At 33.4% G+C, this 23,235-nt stretch overlaps 1 long non-coding RNA gene across 5 annotated transcripts in view; it reads left to right on the top strand.

The window, feature by feature from the left end:
- Positions 1-23,235, top strand: part of LOC101928570 (uncharacterized) — a 248,816-nt gene that overhangs the window by 152,426 nt on the left and 73,155 nt on the right. For 2 of the 5 annotated variants that reach the window (XR_241864.5, XR_007059650.1), the window contains 2 exons: positions 13,080-13,235; positions 13,774-13,853. This is a non-coding gene — a long non-coding RNA (uncharacterized LOC101928570). Of the gene's footprint in view, positions 1-13,079; positions 13,236-13,773; positions 21,497-23,235 lie in introns of those variants that run through there. The other 3 variants (XR_001744206.2, XR_001744205.2, XR_001744207.2) reach the window with 2 other exon arrangements.

Below are 23,235 nucleotides of genomic sequence, written 5' to 3'. Positions count from 1 at the left end.
CTAAGGCCTCAAAGGCAAATGTAACAAAAATCACAATAGATAAATGGGACTTAATTCAACTAAAAAGCTTATTCACAGCAAAAGAAATAATCAACAGTTAAAAAAAAAAAGACGTACAGGAAAAGAAAATATTTTCAAAGTATGCATCCAATGAGGTAAATATCCAGAATCTACAAGGAATTCAAACAACTCAACAAGAAGAAAACAAACAATCCCATTAAAAAGTAGGCAAAGGACATGAATAGACATTTTGCAAAAGAAGACATAAAAATGGCCAAGAAGCATATGAAAAAATGCTCATCATCACTAATCATTACAGAAATGCAAATTAAAACCACGATGAGATGCCATCTTATGCCAGTCAGAATGGGTGTTATTAAAAAGCCAAAAAATAACAGATGTTGGTGAAGATGCAGAGAAAAGGAATGGTTATACAATTTTTGGTGAGAATGTAAATTTTTACAATCTCTACGTAAAACGCTAGAAGATTTCTCTAAGAACTAAAAATAGTACTACTATTTCATCCAGTAATCCCACTACTGGGTATCTACCTAAGGAAAAGAAATCATCATTTTGAAAAGATACATGTACAGCACTACTCACAATAGCAGAGATATGGTATCAAGTTTACATCAGTGGATGATTGAATAAAGAAAATGTCACATATATAAATAGAGCTTACCATGAATGAAGCTTGCAGAAATGGGAGCTGCTCTGGGTGAGTCAGTGAGTGAGTGGCAAATGAATGTGAGGGCCTAGGAGTTTACTGTACACTGTTATAGAATTTATAAGCACTATAAACTTAGTCTACACTAAATTAAAAAATAAAATACCATCAATATTCAATTAATCTTAGCTTACTGTTAACTTTTTTACTTTCTAAACTTAATTTTTTTTATTATTTATTTATTTATTTTTTTTTTTGAGGCGGAGTCTCGCTCTGTCACCCAGGCTGGAGTGCAGTGGCGCGATCTCGGCTCACTGCAAGTTCCATCTCCCGGGTTCACCCCATTCTCCTGCCTCAGCCTCCTGCGTAGCTGGGACTACAGGCGCCTGCCACCGTGCCCGGCTAATTTTGTGTATATTTAGTAGAGACGGGGTTTCACCATGTTAGCCAGGATGGTCTCGATCTCCTGACCTTCTGATCCGCCCGCCTCGGCCTCCCTATAAACTTAATTTTTTAACTTTTTGACTCTTTATAATTCAGTAATTCATAACTCTTTGTAGTAATACTTAAACATAAACATTGTACAGCTATACAAAAATATTATCTTTCCTTATGTCATTATTTAACCTTTTTTCTATTTTTACATTGTTTCTTTATTTTTCTTTCACTTTTTAAATGTCTTTGTTAAAAGCTAAGACACAAACCCAATCATTAGCCTACACCACACAGGTTAAGAATCATCAATATTACTGCCTTCCACCTCCACATCTTGTCTCACTGGAAGGTCTCTGACCTGCTTGGAGCAGTCATCTCCTATGATAACAATACCTTCTTTTGGGATACCTCCTGAAGGACCTGCCTGAAGCTTTTTTACAGTATACCTTTTTTAACAAGCGGAAAGAGTAAACTCTAAAATGACAAAATGTGTAGTATAGTAAATACATAAACCTGTAACATGGTAATTTATTATCATTATCAAGTATTATGTATGTTACATAATTGTATTGCTATACTTTTATACAACTGATAGCTGAGAGGGTTTGTTTACATCAGAATCCCACAAACATGTGAGTAATGCATTGTTATGATGTTAGGAAGGCTATGATGTAGATAAGTAATAGTAATGTTTTAGTTCTGTTATGTCACAACTTATAGAATGATTTTCAGAGATGTGGCTCAATGTTGACCAAAAGATTGTTAAGTGGCATATGACTGTATCAGTGTTGAACATAAAAATTAAATTCAATACAATTTAAAATTACTCCAAAAAATGAAATAGTTATATACTTTAAAAATGCCTGATATCCATAGACTGACAATTATAAAATACAGATGGAAAAATTAAAGTAGGCCTACATAAATAGAAAGGCATATATTTATGAATTAGAAGTCAACATAGTAAAGATATTAATTATCCCTAAATTGATCTATAATTTTAATGCAATGTTATCAAAATTTAAGTAGCTATGTTTTTCAGATATAGACAAGCTAATTCTAAAACTTACATGAAAGATGAAGAAAGTAGACTAGCTAAATATAATATTGAAAAAGAAGACTAAAGTTTAAGGAATTATATTCCCCAATTTTAAAACTATATAACCACCGTAACTAAGTCAGTGTGGTGTTGGAGGAGGGACAGACATGTAAATCAATGGAGCAGAATAGAAAATGTATAAATTGACCCACAAATATATAGCAAAAGCAATTCGATGAGGAAAGAGTAGCCTTTTCAATACATTATTTGAAATAGTATGAATCTAACCCAAACTTCATATCACACATAAATTTACTTAAAATGGATAATAGATACAAATTTAAAACATTGAACTATAAATCTTTTAGGAGAAAATCTTTGTAACAAAAGGCTAGTTTCAGTGTTCTTAAACATGACACCAAAAAGGTGATCCAGAAAAAAAGGATAAATTGAAACTTCATCAAAATTAGCATTTTTCCGTCAAACACCTAGTGAAGAGGATAAAAAGTTAAGCCACAGACTGGGAGATAACATTTGCAAAGCACAGAAGAAGTCAGTCAAATCCCTTCTACAATATATAGAGAAAGATGTTTCGCCAAAAAGCATATGCAGATGTCAACTAAATATATAAAAAATGTTCACATCATAAGCCAGATTAGAGAACAAATTAGAGTCATAATGAGATACCTATACCACACACAGCAATGAGAATGACTAAAATAAAAAAAAGAATACTGATAATATCAAGTGCTAGCAATGATGCAGAGCTACTAGAACTCTCTGACTTTGCTGGTAGGAATGTAAAACGGTATAGCCACCTTGAAGAGGTATTTGTCACCTCTTTGTCCATTTCTTATGAAGTTAAACATTCACTTACTGTATGATCTAGTGATCACTTCTGTGTATATATTTATACTCAAGAAATAAAATTTTGTGTCTATTCAAAAACCTGTGCATAACAGTTCAGAGCGGCTTTATTTGTAATAGATAAAACTGAAAACAAGTAAAATGTTATTGAATAGGCAAATGTATGAACAAGCTGTGGTACATACATACATACACACTATGAAATATTACCTACCTATATAAAGAAATAAATTATTTTTATACAGGCACCCACCAAGTAGGATGGATTGAAAGGGTATAATGCTGAATGAAAATAAAAGCCCATCTCAAAGGGTTACATATTATACGATTTCATTTATACAACACTTCCAAAATGACAAAACTGTATTGATGGAGAATAAGTATCTAGGGTTTAGGGATAGAGTAGAGTCTGACTATGAAGAGGAAGCAAGAGGGTGTTTCTTTCCGGCAATGTAGCATATTTGTGTAATGTTTGCAGTGGTTGTTAAACCAATCTATACATGTGATAAAATTTTGTCACACTATACCCCAAAAAGAATACAAGTGTGTGTAAAATTTGGTAAAATCTGAAAAAAATTATAGTTTGACTAATAATATTTATACCAATATCAATTTTCTAGCTTTAAAAAATGTACTATGACTATATAATATGTTGTTATTGGGGAAAAAGTTGAGTGAAGGTTACATGAAAACTACTATTTTTGCAACTTCTTGTGAGTTTTATCTCCAAATAAAAAATTAAAAACAAAAATGGAGCACCCACTATGACCAAGAATAGGTCTCTTTTGCTAGAGATATAGGGGTATCTTTGCCCCCAAGTAGCTCGCATTAAAGCAATACTGGGCCTTTAACTGAAATGGAAAACATAAGAGGCAAGCTAGAAAGTGAAATTTTGGCGATGTCTGCAGAAATCTAAGTGCCAAGTACAAGAGAAGATTGTATATAATCGTAGTTCAGAAGAAAGGACAACTATGTATGTTTGAGAGTCATCAACATAGGGTGAGATTATCAGCATAGAGTGGGGATATGTTAATAAAAGAGGACCTAGAAAGGCACTCTAATAATTGCTAGACATGTTCTCTGTGAGCTGCACAACTACACTAGCTTGAGGTGGTGCCTTCTCTCACTCCATAAACATATTGGTACTTTGATGGAGGTCACAAACACAAATGCTAAAAAATAACATAAATACATAATTTGAGCCTGGTATAAACAAGATAGAAATTCAGAAGGGCCACTGGAAAATGGGAAGAAGCATTTAAACACTTGTTTAAAGTCATTAAAATTCAAGCATTGCACAAACACTTTTTTGTTAGCCAAACAAAACAAGATTGCAGCCAGATTCTGCTAAGAGCAGCTGGTTTGCAACCTGTGTTTGGGTAAATTAATTGACTTGTTTTCTAATCTCTTATTAAACAATGGCACATCAATGGCTTAATATGTTACCTTTTTCAGCTATATACATTTTGGAAAAGAATTTTGTAAGATGCAGTATTTTTACCCCATGGAAATTTCACAGAAACACCGTAAGGTATTATAGGAGATTTATTTAAGCAATGCCTTCTAAATTACACTACAAAAAACAAGTCATGTGAAAAACTGACCATTGTTTAAAAGGTATGTCTCACAAGAAAGAGACCACAAAACAACTAGAAAACAAAGTTAAAAAATGGCAGGATTAAATCCTTACTTATCAAAAATAGCATTGAATGTAAATAGATTCACCAATCAAAACGTATAGAGTGGCTGGATGAATAAAAAAGCAAGAACCATTGATCTGTTGCCTGTAAGAAATGCACTTCACCTATAAAGACACACATAGACTGAAAATAAAGGGATGGAAAAACACAGTTCATGCCAATGGAAACCAAAAAAGAGCAGGAGTTGCTATACTTAGACAAAATAGATTTCAAGACAAAAACATTAGGAAGAGACAAAGAAGGTAACTATATAATGATAAGGAGGTTAATTCAGCAAGGGGACACAACAATTTTAAACATATATGCACCCAACACTGGAGCACTCAGATATGTAAAGCAAATATTATTAGAGCTAAATGGAGAGATAAGCTCCAATAAAATAATAGATGGAGACTTCAGCACCCCACTTTCAGCACTGGACAGATCTTTCAGAAAGAAAATTAACAAACAAACATCCAACTTAATCTGCACTATAGAACAAATGGATCTAGTAGATATTTAGAGAACATTTCATCAAAGATCTGTGAAATACACATTCTTTTCCTCAGCACATGGATTATTCTCAAGGATAGATCTTAGATTAGGTCACAAAACAAGTCTGAAAGCATTCAAAAAAGTTGAAATAAAATCAAGCATCATGGTGTTTTAGACATGAAGTCCTTGCCCATGCCTATGTCCTGAATGGTAATGCCTAGGTTTTCTTCTAGGGTTTTTATGGTTTTCAGTCTAATGTTTAAGTCTTTAATCCACTTGAATTAATTTTTGTATAAGGTGTAAGGAAGGGATCCAGTTTCAGCTTTCTACATATGGCTAGCCAATTTTCCCAGCACCATTTATTAAATAGGGAATCCTTTCCCCATGGCTTGTTTTTCTCAGGTTTGTCAAAGATCAGATAGTTGTACATATGCGGCGTTATTTCTGAGGGCTCTGTTCTGTTCCATTGCTCTATATCTCTGTTTTGGTACCAGTACCATGCTGTTTTGGTTACTGTAGCCTTGTAGTATAGTTTGAAGTCAGGTAGCGTGATGCCTCCAGCTTTGTTCTTTTGGCTTAGGATTGACTTGGTGATGCGGGCTCTTTTTTGGTTCCATATGAACTTTAAAGTAGTTTTTTCCAATTCCATTGGTAGCTTGATGGGGATGGCATTGAATCTATAAATTACCTTGGGCAGTATGGCCATTTTCACGATATTGATTCTTCCTACCCATGAGCATGGAATGTTCTTCCATTTCTTTGTATCTTCTTTTATTTCATTGAGCAGTGGTTTGTAGTTCTCCTTGAAGAGGTCCTTCACATCCCTTGTAAGTTGGATTCCTAGGTATTTTATTCTCTTTGAAGCAATTGTGAATGGGAGTTCACTCATGATTTCGCTCTCTGTTTGTCTATTATTGGTTTATAAGAATGCTTGTGATTTTTGTACATTGATTTTGTATCCTGATACTTTGCTTAAGTTGCTTATCAGCTTAAGGAGATTTTGGGCTGAGACAGTGGGGTTTTCTAGATATACAATCATGTCATCTGCAAACAGGGACAATTTGACTTCCTCTTTTCCTAATTGAATACCCTTTATTTCCTTCTCCTGCCTAATTGCCCTGGCCAGAACTTCCAACACTATGTTGAATAGGAGTGGTGAGAGAGGGCATCCCTGTCTTGTGCCAGTTTTCAAAGGGAATGCTTCCAGTTTTTGCCCATTCAGTATGCTATTGGCTGTGGATTTGTCATAGATAGCTCTTATTATTTTGAGATACGTCCCATCAATACCTAATTTATTGAGAGTTTTTAGCATGAAGGGTTGTTGAATTTTGTCAAAGTCATTTTCTGAATCTATTGAGATAACCATGTGGTTTTTGTCTTTGGTTCTGTTTATATGCTGGATTACATTTATTGATTTGCATATATTGAACCAGTCGTGCATCCCAGGGATGAAGCCCACTTGATCATGGTGGATAAATGGGATCTAATTAAACTAAAGAGCTTCTGCACAGCAAAAGAAATGACTATCAGAGTGAACAGGCGACCTACAAAATGGGAGAAAATTTTTTCAACCTACTCATCTGACAAAGGGCTAATATCCAGAATCTACAATGAACTCAAACAAATTTACGAGAAAAAAACAACCCCATCAAAAAGTGGGCGAAGGATATGAACAGACACTTCTCAAAAGAAGACATTTATGCAGCCAAAAGACACATGAAAAAATGCTCATCATCACTGGCCATCAGAGAAATGCAAATCAAAACCACAATGAGATACCATCTCACACCAGTTAGAATGGCAATCATTAAAAAGTCAGGAAACAACAGGTGCTGGAGAGGATGTGGAGAAATAGGAACACTTTTACACTGTTGGTGGGACTGTAAACTAGTTCAACCATTGTGGAAGTCAGTGTGGCGATTCCTCAGGGATCTAGAACTAGAAATACCATTTGACTCAGCCATCCCATTACTGGGTACATACCCAAAGGACTATAAATCATGCTGCTATAAAGACGCATGCACACGTATGTTTATTGCGGCACTATTCACAGTAGCAAAGACTTGGAACCAACCCAAATGTCCATCAGTGATAGACTGGATTAAGAAAATGTGGCACATATATACCATGGAATATTATGCAGCCATAAAAAATGATGAGTTCATGTCCTTTGTAGGGACATGGATGAAATTGGAAATCATCATTCTCAGTAAACTGTCACAAGAACAAAAAACCAAACACTGCATATTCTCACTCATAGATGGGAATTGAACAGTGAGAACACATGGACACAGGAAGGGGAACATCACACTCTGGGGACTGTTGCGGGGTGGGGGGAGGGGGGAGGGATAGCTTTAAGAGATATACCTAATGCTAAATGACGAGTTAATGGGTGCAGCTCACCAGCATGGCACATGTATACATATGTAACTAACCTGCACATTGTGCACATGTACCCTAAAACTCAAAGTATAATAATAATAAAAAATAAAAAAATAAAATAAAATAAAATCAAGCATCTTTTCTGACCACAACAAGGTAAAATTAGGAATCAATGACAATAGAAATTTGGAAACCACAAAGATACATTGAGATTAAACAACATGCTGCTGAATGACCAGTGATTCAATGAAGCAATTAAGAAGGAAATTGAAAATTTCTTGAAACAAATGATAATGGAAACACAACATACTAAAACCTATGGGATACAAGAAAAGCTGTACTAAGAGGAAATTTTATAGCTATTAAGTGCTTACATTAAAAAAGCAGAAAAACTTCAAATATATCACCTAGTGATGCATCTAAAGGAACTAGAAAAGCTAGAGCAAATCGAACCCAAAATTAGTAGAAGAAAAAAATAAAGATTAGAGCAGAAATAAATAAAATTAAAATTAAAAATACAAAAGATCAATGAATTAAAAAGCTGGTTTTATTAAAACATTTAACAAATTTGGCAAACCTTTAGCAAGACTGACTAAGAAAAAAGAAAGACGACCAAAATAAATAAAATCAGAGATGAAAGAAACATTACAGTTGATACTTCAGAATTTCAAAGGATCATTAGAGGCTATGATGAGCAATTATATGCCAGTAAATTGGAAAATCTAAAATAAATAGACAAATTCAACCTACCAAGATTGAACCATGATGAAACCCAAAACCTGAACAGACCGGCAACAAGTAATGGGATCAAAGCCATAATAAAAAGTTTCCCAGTAAAGAAAAGCCCAGAACCCAATGTCTTTGTTGCTGAATTCTACCAAACATTTAAAGAACTAAAACCAATACTACTTGAACTATTCTTAAAAGTTGAGGTGGCGGGAATACTTCCAAACTCGTTCTATGAGCCAGTATTACTCTAATACCAATACCAGACAAAGACACATCCAAAAAAGAAAACTACTGGTAAATAACTCCGATGTGTATTGATGTAAAAATACTCAACACAATACTAGTAAATCAAATTCAACAATACATTAGAAGGATTATTCATCATGACCAAGTAGGGTTTATCCCAGGATGCAAGAATGGTTTAACATATGCAAATCAATCAATGTGATACATCATATCAACAGAATGAAGGACAAAACCCATATGATCATTTCAACTGATGCCTATAAAGCAATTGATAAAGTTTAACATTCCTTCATGATAAAAAAATATAAAAACTGGTTATAGAAGAATAACAACATAATAAAAGCCACATGACCAACCCACACCCTAATATCATGCAGAATGGAGAAAAACTGAAAGCCTTTTCTCTGAGACCTGGAACATGATGAGGATGCTCACTGTGACCACTGTTATTCAATGTAATCCTGGAAGTCCTAGCTGGAGCAATCAGACAAGAGAAAGAAATAAAGGCATCAAAATTGGAAAGGAAGAAATCAAATAATCCATGTTTGTAGATGATAGGATCTTATATTCAGGAAAACCTAGAGACTCCACAAGAAAACCATTAGAAACTATTGCCATTTTTATGTGTGATCAACAAGTTCATTAAAATTGCCAGACACAAAATCAACATACAAAATTCAGTAGCGTTCCAATATGCCAACAGTGAACAATCTGAAAAAATATCAAAAAAGTAATCCCATTTACAATAGCCAAAAATAATTAAATACCTAGGAATTAACCAAAGAAGTGTAAGATCTCTGTAGTGAAAATTATAAAACATTGATGAAAGAAGCTGAAGAAGATACCAAAAAGTGAAAAAAAATTTCATGTTTATGGATTGGAAAAAAACAATATTTTAAATTGTTAAATTTTACCATATGGATATGGTAAAATGTCCATACTACTCAAAGTAATCTACAGGTTCAATGCAATCTCTATCAAAATACTAATGACATTCCTTGCAGAAATAGAGAAAAATCTTAAAATTAATAGGCCACTACAAACGACCCAGAACAGCAAAAGCTATCCAAAACAAACAAACAAAACAAAAAACAAAAAACAAAAAAAACTAAAGGAATCACAATATCTGATTTCAAATTATTCTGCAGAGCTATAGTAACAAAACAGCATGGTACTGGCAAAAAAACGAAAAACAAAAAACAAACAAACAAAAAAACAACCAACCAACCAACCAACCAACCAACCAAACAAAAAACCCCACACATATAGACCAATGAGAACTCAGAAACAAATCCACACACCTACAGTGAACTCATTTTTGACAAAGTTACCAAGAGCATACATTGAGAAAAAGATAATCTCTTCAATAAATGGTGCTGAGAAAACTGAATATCTATATGCAAAAGAATGAAACTAGATTCCTATCTCTTGCCATACACAAAAATCAAAACAAAATGGATTAAAAACTTAAATTTAAGACCTCAAACAGTGAAATTACTACAAGAAAACACTGGGGAAAATCTCCAGGAAATTAGTCTGAGCAAAAAATTTCTTGAGGAATACCCCACAAGTGCAAGCAACCAAAGCAAAAATGCACAATTGGGATCACAGCAAGTTAAAAAGTTAACAGCTTATCTGTGCACTTTGTCAGTTGTTTTGGATATAAAATCATTGGCTTGTACATTTTTTTTCTTGAATACATTAAACGTTTTTCTCAATTTTCTTCTTTCTTAAAGCGTGGCTCTGGAAATTGTCATAATAATTTAATATATTTTCCCATATAAGTCAAATGCTATATTTTCTAGGTGCACAGCAAATAAGACATGAAGAAAGTGAAGAAAAACACCCACAGAGTAGAAGAAAATACTTGCAAACTATCCATACATCGGACAAGAGATTAAAAATCAGAATATATAAGGGGCTAACACAATTCTATAGGAAAAAAATCTAATAATCTGATTTGAAAATGGGCAAAAGATATTAATAGATATTTCTCGAAATAAGACATAAAAATGGCAAGCAAGTATATGAAAAGATGCTCTACATCATTGTTCATCAGAGAACTACAAATCAAAACTACAATGAGATATCATCTCACCTTAGTTAAAATGGCTTATATCCAAAAGACAGGCAATAACAAATGATGGTGAGGATGTGGAGGAAAGGGAAGCCTTGTACAATGTTGGTGGGAAGGTAAATTAGTATAGTCACTATGAAAAACAGTTTAGAGGTTCTTGAAAAAAGTAAAATTAAAGTTACCACATGACCCAGCCATCCCACTGCTGAGTATATACTGAAAAGAAAGGAAATCAATATATCAAAGAGATATCTGCACTACTATGTTTGTTGTAGCATTGTTCAAAATGGCCAAGATTTGGAAGCAACTTAAGTGTCCATCTACAGATGAGTGAATAAATAAACTGTAGTACATGTTCACAATGGAGTACTATTCTGCTATAAAAAGGAATGAGAGCCTGTCATTTGCATCAGTCTGAATGGAACTGGAGATCATTATGTTAAGTGAAATAAGCCAGGCAAATAAAGACAAATATCACATGTTCTCTTATTTGTGGGTTCTAAAATCAAAACAATCGAACTTATGGACATAGAGAATAGAATGATGGTTACCAGAGGCTTGGAAGGGTAGGGGGGATGCTGGGTGGAGGTGGGGATGGTTAATGGGTACAAAAAATTAAAAAGAATGAATAAGACCTACTATTTGATAGCATAAATGTGACCATAGTCAATATGTACACTTTGAAATAAATAAAATAATATAATTGAATTGTTTGTAACACAAAGAATAAATGCTTGAAAGGATGAATATCCCATTGTCTATGATATGATTATTATGCATTTCATGTCTGTATCAAAACATCTAATGTACCCCATAAATATATACAACTACTATGTACCCACAAAGATAAAAATTAAACAGATATGTTACTCTAACACAAAGCGAAAGTGACCTTTGGAAATTCTCTGTTTATTCAATCAAAACAATTTATCCTGCCCTTGTTGATTGATTTATGAGAAATGCTATATAAATAAAAGCATACCTTCTTATTTGTACTTGTTAGTTTTTAATATAAAAAGTTTCACTCAGCAAATTAATCAACTAGCAAGGATTTTGAGATACATAACATGGACCAATCATTTTTATAATTATGATTGGAATCAGACACTTCACATCTTGTGCTAATATAACGATTCAGGTGACATAGTAATTTGAAATAAATTATTTATGCAAAGCGTCATCCCAACATTGATAACAAACAGAGGTTAGGAAGAAATTGCTTTAAGGATATCAGATTGCAACAAGTGTCTAAGGAGCAACACATAATGTTTACTGTGTTAAGAAATTTGGAAGCTATGTGAGGCTACAGAACGTAAGTGTTACTAATCGATAAATTCCTTACTCTGGTTTACAAGGTACTATATGATTTGGTCCATGTCTACACCTCCAAGTTTATCTACTATTTTCTAGCTATATGGTTTTGTTTTTCATTTATTTAATATGCCATACCTGTTGTAGCTTTTGTCTCTACATTAACTTTTCCCTTTGCCTAGGAAGCTCTTCCTCAAGGTATTTGAACTCCTAATTTTTTCTTGTGATTTGGATTATTGTTGAAATACCACTAATTCCTAGAGACTTTCCAGAAAAATTAATCTTAAACAGTTACCTAATGACTTTCTATAATATAGCTTCAATTATCTGCAGGTACCAGTTGCTGGCTGATTTTTGTTGTTGTTGTTGTTCATTTGTAGTCTCTCTTGCATCTGCACCCATCTATAAGCTTCATAAGAGCTGACAGATAACACAGGCTTCCTGTAGTGGGTTGAATTTGGCTCTGAAAAAAAAATATGCTCATATCCTAATATCAATAACCTGTGAATATTACCGGATATAGCAAAGGATGTGATAAAGTAAAAGATCTTGAGAGAAGCAGCTTATCGTAGACAATCTGTGTGAGTGGGGCAGAAGGAGTTTTGAGACATACAATGAGGGATGCCAAGGCATACCAGCAGTCACCAGAATCTAGGACAGGCAAGAAAGGATTCTCCCCAAAATCTCCAGAGTGGCCATGGACCTGCTGAAAGCTTTATTTCAGACTTATGACCATTAGTTATTATATTGGACAGTGAAAATATGAAATAATTTCATTATTATTGAAAATTTTGTAAAAAATGGTGCAGAGCCATAAGGACTCCCAGGTCATAGCACCTAGGTGGAATGTCTCCTTTTACCATAGCCTGGTCCCTTTTGAGGCCTTTCTTGCTTTAGGTATCACTGAAAGCTGACAGTCTTTCAAATCACTGAGGAAATGAATTAGGACCAAGTTTCCCAAGAATATGCTGCCTCCAGAAATCAGCATCTTATGAGGTCCTGTGTTTCTTACTTGTGGGATATGCAAAATTTGATTATTCGTCCTATACATTCGATTGGGTGTACCAATATGACCTGGATTTCTGGAGCCACAAAACTTCACCTACATGGCACATTCTTGAATCTTTATAGAGTTTATCTCCCACCCTCTAGGGCCTGTGTATCTTACTTCGCCCTCCTTGTGAGTTGCCACTTCCTGTTCATCCTCCTATCAACGTGATATAAACACCAAAATAGACCAAAGTAATTATCTGGGGAATGTCCAGAGGGTGTTTACCTTCAGAAAATTAACAGCTTTGAGACTAAATCGTAAGTATATACTGTTGTTCATCTCATGTGGCGCTAACTATTTGTTATGCTCCTTTAAATATGATACGGAAAATAAGCTGTTAGCCAGGTCAATAGCTACATGTGCCATAAGCTAAATTAATCTGCTCTAGCAAAGATACCGTATTTGGCATAATAGCTGTAATTAGAGCTACTACTAAGTAAAGTTTATATGAGGCCACTGTGATCCATATAATCTATTTTTTTAGGGACTAGAGCACTGAATTATATGGGAATCTGGTGGGGACAATCACACCTGTTGCTATGGATGAAATGTGTCCCGCAACATCAATGCGTTGGAAAGTTAATCCCCAATGCAACAGTGTTTAGAGGTGAGACCTTTAAAGAGTCGATTAGGTTATAAGGGCTCTGACGTCATGAGTGGATTAATACCATTATCACTGGAGTGGGTTAGTTATCTCAGGTATGGGTTTGTTATCAAAATAATGCATTTGCTATAAAAACTAGTTAGGCCCCCTCTAGCTCTCATTTGCTCTCTTGTCTTTCTGTCTTCTGCTAGGATGACCCAGCAAGAAGGTTCTCATCAGTGGCTGACCAGATGCCAGAAACATGCCATTGGAGTGCCCAGCCTTCAGAACAGTGAGCCAAACCAATTTCTGTTCATTATAAATTACCCAGTCTCAGCTATGCAGTTATAGCAGCACAAAGCAGGCAAGACACCAGTTATCTTTTAATATTTTAAGGTGACACTAATCAATTTTTTTCAAATATATAATATTGTTTCTTTTTTTTTTCTGGGGAAATGAATAGTTTAAGAAGTTTCCAATGGGCCTTCCCCACTATAATACCTCTTACCACACAAACCAACAAATCAATGTTGGGATTCTGCCAACTACCAAGTCTCTTTATTCAGGTTATATTTAGAAATCAGGAACATGCCCACTGGACAGTTCATAGATCCATTAGATCCATAGTGAACCAGACATGTTCCAGAACTTCATTAATAATGTCACTCTAACAAGAGGAAAATGGTGGTGCTTTGGGTCCACAGATATCAATGCCAATTCAGATCCATATCCAATAATCCCCAAAAGGTGTGGCTACGTCCTTTCCTTCAAATGTCCTTATTTACTACGTAATTGTCAGTTATTTTCAGAAAGAATAGGAGGAATTACTTTTTAATATACTTGTGGTGTTGCCTCATCCTTTCTCACGCCGCTGATTCTGGATCTGAGAACTGTACTCAGGTCTTAGGACTGGGAAAGGGAAAACAATATTTTATTAGTATAGTTGCATTCAGTCTCCTAATTATCCATTCTTTATTTATTTTAATTATGTAAATTTAGAAACATATTTGATGGTTTCCTAAGTTGTCTTTGAAAATATTGTGTTATATTAATCATATGTATAATCATATCACTAGTCATATATCATGCATATATATAATCATATATATAACATCTCTGAGGTGCATGCCTCCTCTGCCTGCCACTTCAGCTTTGGTTCCCAGGGTGGTAAATGTGTCCTTCTTGCTTTGACAGTTAAGAGCCACTATCTGGCTTCTTTTTATTTCAGGATACTCTCATACCTGTTTCTTTCAGGGAGGCCAGTCCTGTCACAGTATTCCCTGGCCTACAGAGGAGAACCATACTGAGTTCAGAAATGACGGTGCCTTTTTCACCAGTGTAATGCGTGTTGCTTTAGTGAATTAGCTGTGCTTCTAATCTTTCTTGCAATATAGTTTACTGATGGTTATTCTGATCTTACATAGTATGCCACTGTAGCATGCACATTTAATGCCTTCGTCTTCTATCTGTCACACAATTCTGGCACTTCTGCTACATTTATATGGGCCATTACTTTTTCAAACTTCCCTAGTGCCTTTCTGCTGATATATCAGTGTTTCCTGGTGTCCTTGCCAGTGTGTTAAATTACATATCATGAGAGAGTGCTCCATATTGATAAAGTATCTCATATCCAACTCTAAGTTCTATGCTCCTTTTTACATCACCTTCAGATCCAGTTTCATTCATGTTCTCCTGGCTCCCATGGTACCTATTAGACAGCTGCTACAATTCCTTTACATATAGTCTCTTTCTTCCCTTAACTAGTTCAGCACTTGTCTCATTGGAATGTGCTGGTAATTAACCCTTATTATTGGAATATTTGCCTGGAAGGGAAAAAGGATAGTTCCTTAGTGTGTGGGGGTCTTAGACGGAAGCATTGTCTTTTAAAGGACCTAAGTCATTTGAAATTTCTGTATTATCTCCAAGCAATGCTTTCTTTAAAATAATACCACTGTCTTGTATCAAAGGAATTAGAAGATGCTTCCACCAAAAAAGAGCATTTGGGGGGAAAATAGAACTTCAAGGTTTTCAGCTACGTCTAATCAATTATCTTCATTCCAAATCTAAGGGGAATATTTCTTTCTTGTTAGTATCTTGACATTGGCTTACAAAACCTGCTGAGGCTGAGAATCCAACTATCTCTGAAGCTCCACTAGTTGTATTATTAACTTTTGAATTTAGTCCTCTAGTGACTGCCCACCAGTGGCAGATGATTAGAGTCTCCTTAGATTCTGCCAAGAATCCTTCTGGCTTTCACATTTTACCTTGGAATGATAACTAATTAATCACCTGAGCTCATCATTATCGATGCTTAAATTAAAATAAAATGATTCTCAATAAAGTCTATTTACTTTGTAGCCCTTATACTTACTATTTTCTATATGACATTAAGTTCCAGAAGTAATTACATAGCCAGTGTGTCTTCTTCTACCAGTACTGCACTTGAGTTCTGAGTTCACTACTTGCAACAATTTTATCAACTGTGAAAGGTGAAGTCTACTCATCCTCCATTTACCACCAGCAATGCAGCCCTCATTGCTAGATGGCCTGAACATTTTGATCCAGCTTTGGAATATTATTCTACAGTTTGTTTTCTAGGACCCCTTCTAGTAACAACAGAATCATATGAAGTTCCCTAGACATAGTCTCTAAGATGGAGAGTTTTATGCAGAGAGGATTTATTGGGGAATGCTCTTGGTAGATGTTATCTGTGATGAACCAAAAAAAGCAGGATTGAGCAGAAAGAGAAGTCAACCCATAACACAGTTTCAATAAAGCTTTAGAACTGGAATGGCTCTTCAGTGTTTTTCTGACATGAAATATAGTGTCTAGGCCTTTATATCATTGCATGATCCAGTGACGGAGTATGGTGTCTCCCTAGTAGGAGAATACTTTTAGAATAGAGTTCTCTGTGGCCAAGGGCAATTTCAAGGGAGGAAGTCACCTCTGAGCTATCAGTCTCAGACATCCTCAGTAGCTGGGGTATACAAGGTTTACCAGAGTGTCAATTATCTATTATAGCATACACACGGAAAAATTTACAAGTGTATGTGTACACCTGTATTTGATAAATTATTATATAGAAAGCATACACATATAGCCACTATACAGTTCAAGAAATGTAACACCTTTAAACTGCAGAAACCTTTACAGGGCCTACTTAGTTATTAACCCCATTTCCACAATAAAAATAAATTACCTAACTTTTAGCACCATAGCTTAGTTTAGCTTGTTTTCAAACTTTGCATAAATTGAATCAAAGCAGTGGGATTTTCGTGTCTAACATTCTTCTTTCAATATTATGATTTGGGAATTCACTGGAGTGATTATATACATCAGTTGTTCATTAAATATATTTTTGTATGAATATATTACAATGTGTTATTCTAAGTTTGATTGACGTTTTAGTTGTTTCTAATTTTTTACTGTTATCAATAATGCAGCAATAACATGTTTACACCTATATTTTGGTGAAAATAGATATGTAATTCTGTTGTAGTTATACAAAAGAGTAAAACTTGTAACAGATTCAAAAGATACTATCAAACAGGGTTTTTGCCAGAGGTTAGATCAATACATAGTCCCACTAGAAGAAAATTGATGCTTCAGTTGGCCTGCATCTTCTCCCACACTTACACTTAAGAGTAGTCAGAGTTCTTTTTAATTTATCATTTTATTTTAGTTGGTATGGAATACTATCTCTTTGTAGTTTAATTCACCCAAGATATAACACCTTAAAAATGTATATTGATATTTTTATGTAAAACTCAAGACTACAGAACTTTGATGTTTTTGTTATCTCTTGGTTCTAAAGAAGAAGATGATAAAATTTGGATATTCAATAATTTCTCATTTGTTATATATTACTTTTAGAATAACAGTACAAGTATTAGCACTTAAATGACTATTGATCATTTTACTTTTTATCTTTCTCCATTGTTTACCACAATCCCTTCATAAACAAATGGTCAGAATGCATAGTCATTGTATACTGTCTTCGTCTTAGCTCTCATGTCATCTTAATTCTATGGGCAACCATATGGTTAATGCTCACATCAGTCCTTATGTCTGGGTCTCTCTGGTCATTGTGGTTATCTATATGTTATTCTATGGTATATTTTGGAGGAAATGCTCATGGGAACATTATTTTTTGAGTGCTTTCATGTTGTTAAAAGCTTATCTGTGCACTTTGTCAGTTTTGGATATAAAACCATTGGCTTATACATTTTTTTTTCTTGAGTAAATTAAACATTTTTCTCAATTTTCTTCTTTCTTAAAATGTGGCTCTGGAAATTGTCATGATAATTTAATATACTTTCCCATATAAGTCAAATACTATATTTTCTAGGTGCATAAATAATTTGTCCTTTTCTAATAATTTTACTGGAATGTGTAATGGTATTGGTGACTCTGGGGCAACACTCTTAGATTTATGGTTTGCTATGTCAGTATATATTTCAAGTCTTTTACATTATTATTTCAGGGAAGTTATTTTATTATCTCGCTTTGGCTTTCATTTCTGTAACTTCTATTAAATACTTTAAACCTTTTCTGCCTATCTTTGATATTTGTCATTTTTTAAAATTATTTTCATCTCTTCTAATTTTTAATACTACTTTTAAAATGTACTCTTTTATACATTCTATTTCTCTTAAAGATTATCTACATTTATTCATTATAATTTTCTTCTTACTTTAGTATTATTTTCTAAATAATTATTTTTATTTTTGTTTCCTGAAGACTGACATATTATTTCTGAATTTTTTTAAATTTTTATTTATGTTATATTGTTCTTTTATGTCTTGTATCATTTCCTTAGTGTCATTTAGCTTTCTTATGGGTGTATCTTTATGATATGCTTTCATTGTTGGGGTATATTCTTCTTATTCTTTTTCTTGTAATAATTTTATATTGTACATTTTTATGTAAAATTAGGCTCCATACACTTTTAGGATGAAGGGACATTTCAAGAAAGCTTTGATAACTTCACATGGCTCCCCTCTGCTGTTCTCTGTAATGCTCAAATGCTGGCAGCTTACTTTCTGAGATATTCTGCATCTAGACTCCTCACCCACTTTGGTTTAGATCTTTTTTTATTTGTCTCTACTGCCCCTGTCCTCCTCAATTTTGATTCTTCTCTCAGAAGTTTTTCTTTAATCTGAGGCCTTGTCCCCCAGTGGAGAGCTGGAGGGCCAGTTTTTCAAGTTCATAGGCACCAGACTGTTCCAGCAGTTAATTATCTTTTTTTGTAAAACTTTGACACATTTTATTATTCTCTTGAGAGATACTAGGGAAGTGGGTTCCACATTAAATAGTAAGAATGTTAAAATTTTCAAATGTATTGATATATGATCCCAAACTTCTTTCATGATATTTCATGCCGATTTTATCCTTATCAGAATGGAATCACAAGCCCCATCTTATCATACACATCCAGGTCCTGAATATTGTTTTTTATGCTTGACAATTTAATAGGTAAAAGGTGGTTTATCATTGCTAATTTAATTTGCATCTCAGTTTACACAAACAAATATGCTTATATGCCTCAGTAATATGATATCCATGAGTTAAGTGGTATGTGTGGTTCGCAAACTCTGAAGTAATTGTAGCAACTCTTGGACATTAGATGAGGCATCAAAATCCAGATTTATTGTGACTGGCTTTCTTTCATTATTCATGTCAGAATTAAAGAATTCTTCCAGACTCTTGTCATGATGCTCCTCTTCCTGCTGCCCTGCCAGTCTCTTCTCTTCTGATGATGCTCCTTAATTCCTCAATAGTTTTAACACAAAGTTTCTCCTTTATACCACATATTTTTCACACTAATGGCTGCTGATCCACCACAGTGCTTAAACTCCAGCACACAAGCACACACACATATACACACACAATCACAGATGCCTTATTTTCTCACAAAAATGATCTTTTTCCTACAAATCTGGACACTCTAAAATTCTAGTGTAAAAGCTGAAGTTTCACAAGCACTCCTAGGATCCTAAGGTTTCATTTTGCAGTCTAGAAAAGAGGTCACAGGCCTAAGAAGCTTTCAAATATTCATCACGTGACAATTCCCAAGTGAGTAGATTTAGAATCTAAACCCTTTTCTTTTTAAAAAATGCATTAAAACATCAAGTATTTAGAGTCTATGGTCTTTGAATAATATTAAAATTACCTATTACAGTGCATTTTAAGATATATATAGTAAAAATTAGAGTGATTCATAAGTGTAATAATAACCTGATATTTCTAAAATCTGATTAGAATAAATCAAACCAGATTTTTATTCAAATATCTTCTGTTCATAGGTCCATGAGTGTTTCTTGTGAGGGGGCAGAGGAGAGTCAATGAGTGGGTGTGTGTCAGGGTGGGCTGCCTGCCTCTTCTGCAAACTTTGGTTCTTTTCCATAGGTTTGGTTAACTTTTATGCCCTGTCTGCTTCTAACTAGGCCTAGACAGATTAGCATGACATTTTGATGGGAAATTGCATAAGATTTGCTAATTTTGCCATTAAGAGATGATTTTCTCTTCTTAACCCACTCCTCCATTCTGCAACACAAAGGCCTTACTTAATATGATAATTTAACTAGTTTCAGTGTACAGTATTAAGAGAAAGGAGGAAGAATTTTTCGTGAAAGATCTTCTTGGTTATTACCAAAATAAATACTTCTAGAAATGTTATTTTATAATTTTAAGCTTATTTTAAGTTTGCTTAAGCTTTATTGATTCCATTTCATAAAGAACAATTCCTTAATCATGAAAGAAATTACCAATGCTGGTATACTGTTTTAAAATCATGACAATAAACAAATGCTATCTTGCATTTAATTTTTCTCTATATTTTGATTATCTGAGTTAGGTTACAGAATACTCTACCCCTACTTTCTAAAATGAATTTTTAAAGAAGTTAAAAACGATCATTTTTCTGAATATATACTACCATTTACTAATGAGTTATCTCTTTTTCTCTAGCATTGTGATTAGTATGTCATAATTTTGTTCATTCAGCATTCTGATAAGAAAAGTAATAAAAAATACAAAACAAAATTAAAATGCACAATTAGATATATTACCATAACTTGGCTTTGCCCTTTCAAGTAATTTTATTGATTTTCCTAAATCTACATATGTTTTATAGTAAAACCAAATTTACTAGAAATTATACTTCTTTCTAAAGCCAAAATGTCACCTGAAATTTGCCAAGCATTTCTGAGTTCAGACCGAGTGGTGTCCAGCTGTCTGTTCTCACGGTCCAATAACAAGATACAGGCAGACTGGGAAAGAAGGGAGTTTATTTCTACAACTGGTTACAGTGAGAAGATCGGAGTAACTCACCAGACCAACTCAAAGTTAAAAGTGTTCTCTAGTGCTTGTATACATTCAATGCACCTACAAACTGAAAACCAAAGTGTTTTACTCTATCTAATCTTTAATTAGGGTACTGGGCCTAGACAATTACTTCAGACCCTTGGAAAAATTATCTATCTAAAGTGGGTTCTGGTACAAGGTGTGTAAGACCTTATCCATTACTTTAATTAAACTCTAAGGTTCTGAGAAAGCATAGGTGTGGTCTTAATGGACTTGTTTTTACGTTCTAGCCTTTGTACCAAGGTACCAGTTTCTTCTTTTAATGTTTAACTTACACATTCATCAGAGTTACATTAAGGTGTTGGTGAAGGCCGACTGCTCTGGTTGCTGATGGAAACCTGGCTTGCCACATTTTGAGAGTTTTAATACCCAGCAAATGTTACTTGTACTTGAAAATTTTGTTTTGATTTTCTCAAACTTGTCCCTTACATAACAACTCTGTTTTGCTCTTTGCATGACCTTCTTTCCAATGAAAATTTTAATTTCATATATATGTAAGAGAAGTCATTTAAATACCATTTTGTGCTTCTCTTTTTAGTAGCTCTTATCTCAAACAAGAAAAATAGAATGTATAAGCATTTAAATATATATTATATATTTATAATTTTATATTATATGGTATATATTTATATTTTATAAATATAAAATATTTATATATTTTTATATATTTTATATATTATAAATATATTTTTATATATTTTATATATTTTTCAAAATATTTTTTGAAAAATATATTTATATTTTATAAATATTTTATATTTACTATATTTTAATATATTTTAATAAATATAAAATATTAATATTTTATATTTTTCAAAAAATATTTAAAATATGGTAAAGTATATGTTTACTTAAAAATAATTTAAATAAAATAATTATATAATGGTGAAGTGTTAAATATATAAATGTGTATGTATATATATATTTATATATTCTTCAAATGAAAGGGAAAACTATTTATTTTGTGTGTCCTTACATCAAATATTTTAGATGCTGCTAGATTTCTGGTATATTCATTATTAGATATTAGGGCCTTTATTAGATATTATTAGATATTAGGGCCTTTAAACTATTTTAAATAATTAGATATTAGGGCCTTTAAAATATTTTAAATAAATAAGTGAATGAATGGAAAACTTCATGAATAGCACATTTTATCATCTCTGAAAACACTGATGCTCAGAGAGATTGAATAATGTGCCCAGGATTACCTGGCTAGTTAAAATGAGCCAAACTTTTAGATACGTCAGTCTGCCTTACAAAAAACCTATGGTCTTCTTACCAAACCAATTTGTGTAACAATATGGTAGGCTGGAGTACATGCATTTGGTAACTCAAGCACAAGGAAGGCATTTACAAAGGCAAAATAACTCAGGAAAATTTTGCCCTCATATAAAGCATAGCTAGCTCATTCTGCATTGTAACTTTAAAATAATACCACTATTAATCCTATTTTTCATCTAATTATAAAATCCTTTATGATCAGAAGATTTGGGGTATGACTTAAATAGTATAACTAAAGAAAAGATAAATATGTTTGGATTTTTTACTTTTTGGAAATTTTTGATGTCTGGAAAAATTAATTATAAGGGTTATCTAGATTCACTATTGCTAATACAACATTCATATGGGAGAAAGATAATACTGCGTGAGATAAGAGCTACTACAAAGAGAAGCATTAAATGGCCTTAAATGACTCTTTTATAATCTATGTAAGGAAAAGATACTTTATTTACATATTCATATCCACATATATTTTAATTTGTAAGGAAAACATCACTCTGTGAGGTACACATTATAAAATAACTAAGGATCTATGACAGAAAACAAAATATGCAGATATTTTTAAATAAAATGAGATTAACAGGCTTATCCCAGTTCCAGCTTTATTCTATGACAAGGTTATCTTAATTATCTTATCCATCCTGCCCGGACCTCAGAATGCTGACAGCAATATTCGTAGGGTTTTGATTAGATACCATTTCTTAAAGATATTTGCAGGAACTTTTACAATATGTGATATTAGACTGACTATGTGAATTCTATTCACTTTATAAAACAGTGAATAGGAATGTATTCACTTTATAAAACAATGAATAGAAATATACAGTTTCCTACATTTATTCACTAATTCAGCACATATTTCTTGAGTATCTGTTACAGGTCTGGTATTTTACTGGACTTCGTAGATATTGAATGAGCCAAACCAGTCACATCTTCTGCATCTAGAACAAATATATCTCAATCAAATTGTCTAATATAAAATTATTGCTAAATATATTTTTTAAATTCATGCTTGCTCTTTCCCA

The sequence above is a fragment of the Homo sapiens genome, chromosome 6 (genome assembly GCF_000001405.40).
Source record: "Homo sapiens chromosome 6, GRCh38.p14 Primary Assembly".
Classification (NCBI taxonomy): Eukaryota; Metazoa; Chordata; class Mammalia; order Primates; family Hominidae; genus Homo; species Homo sapiens.
Note: the sequence above shows the minus strand (reverse complement) of the source record. Positions and strands in the feature narration are given on the sequence as shown.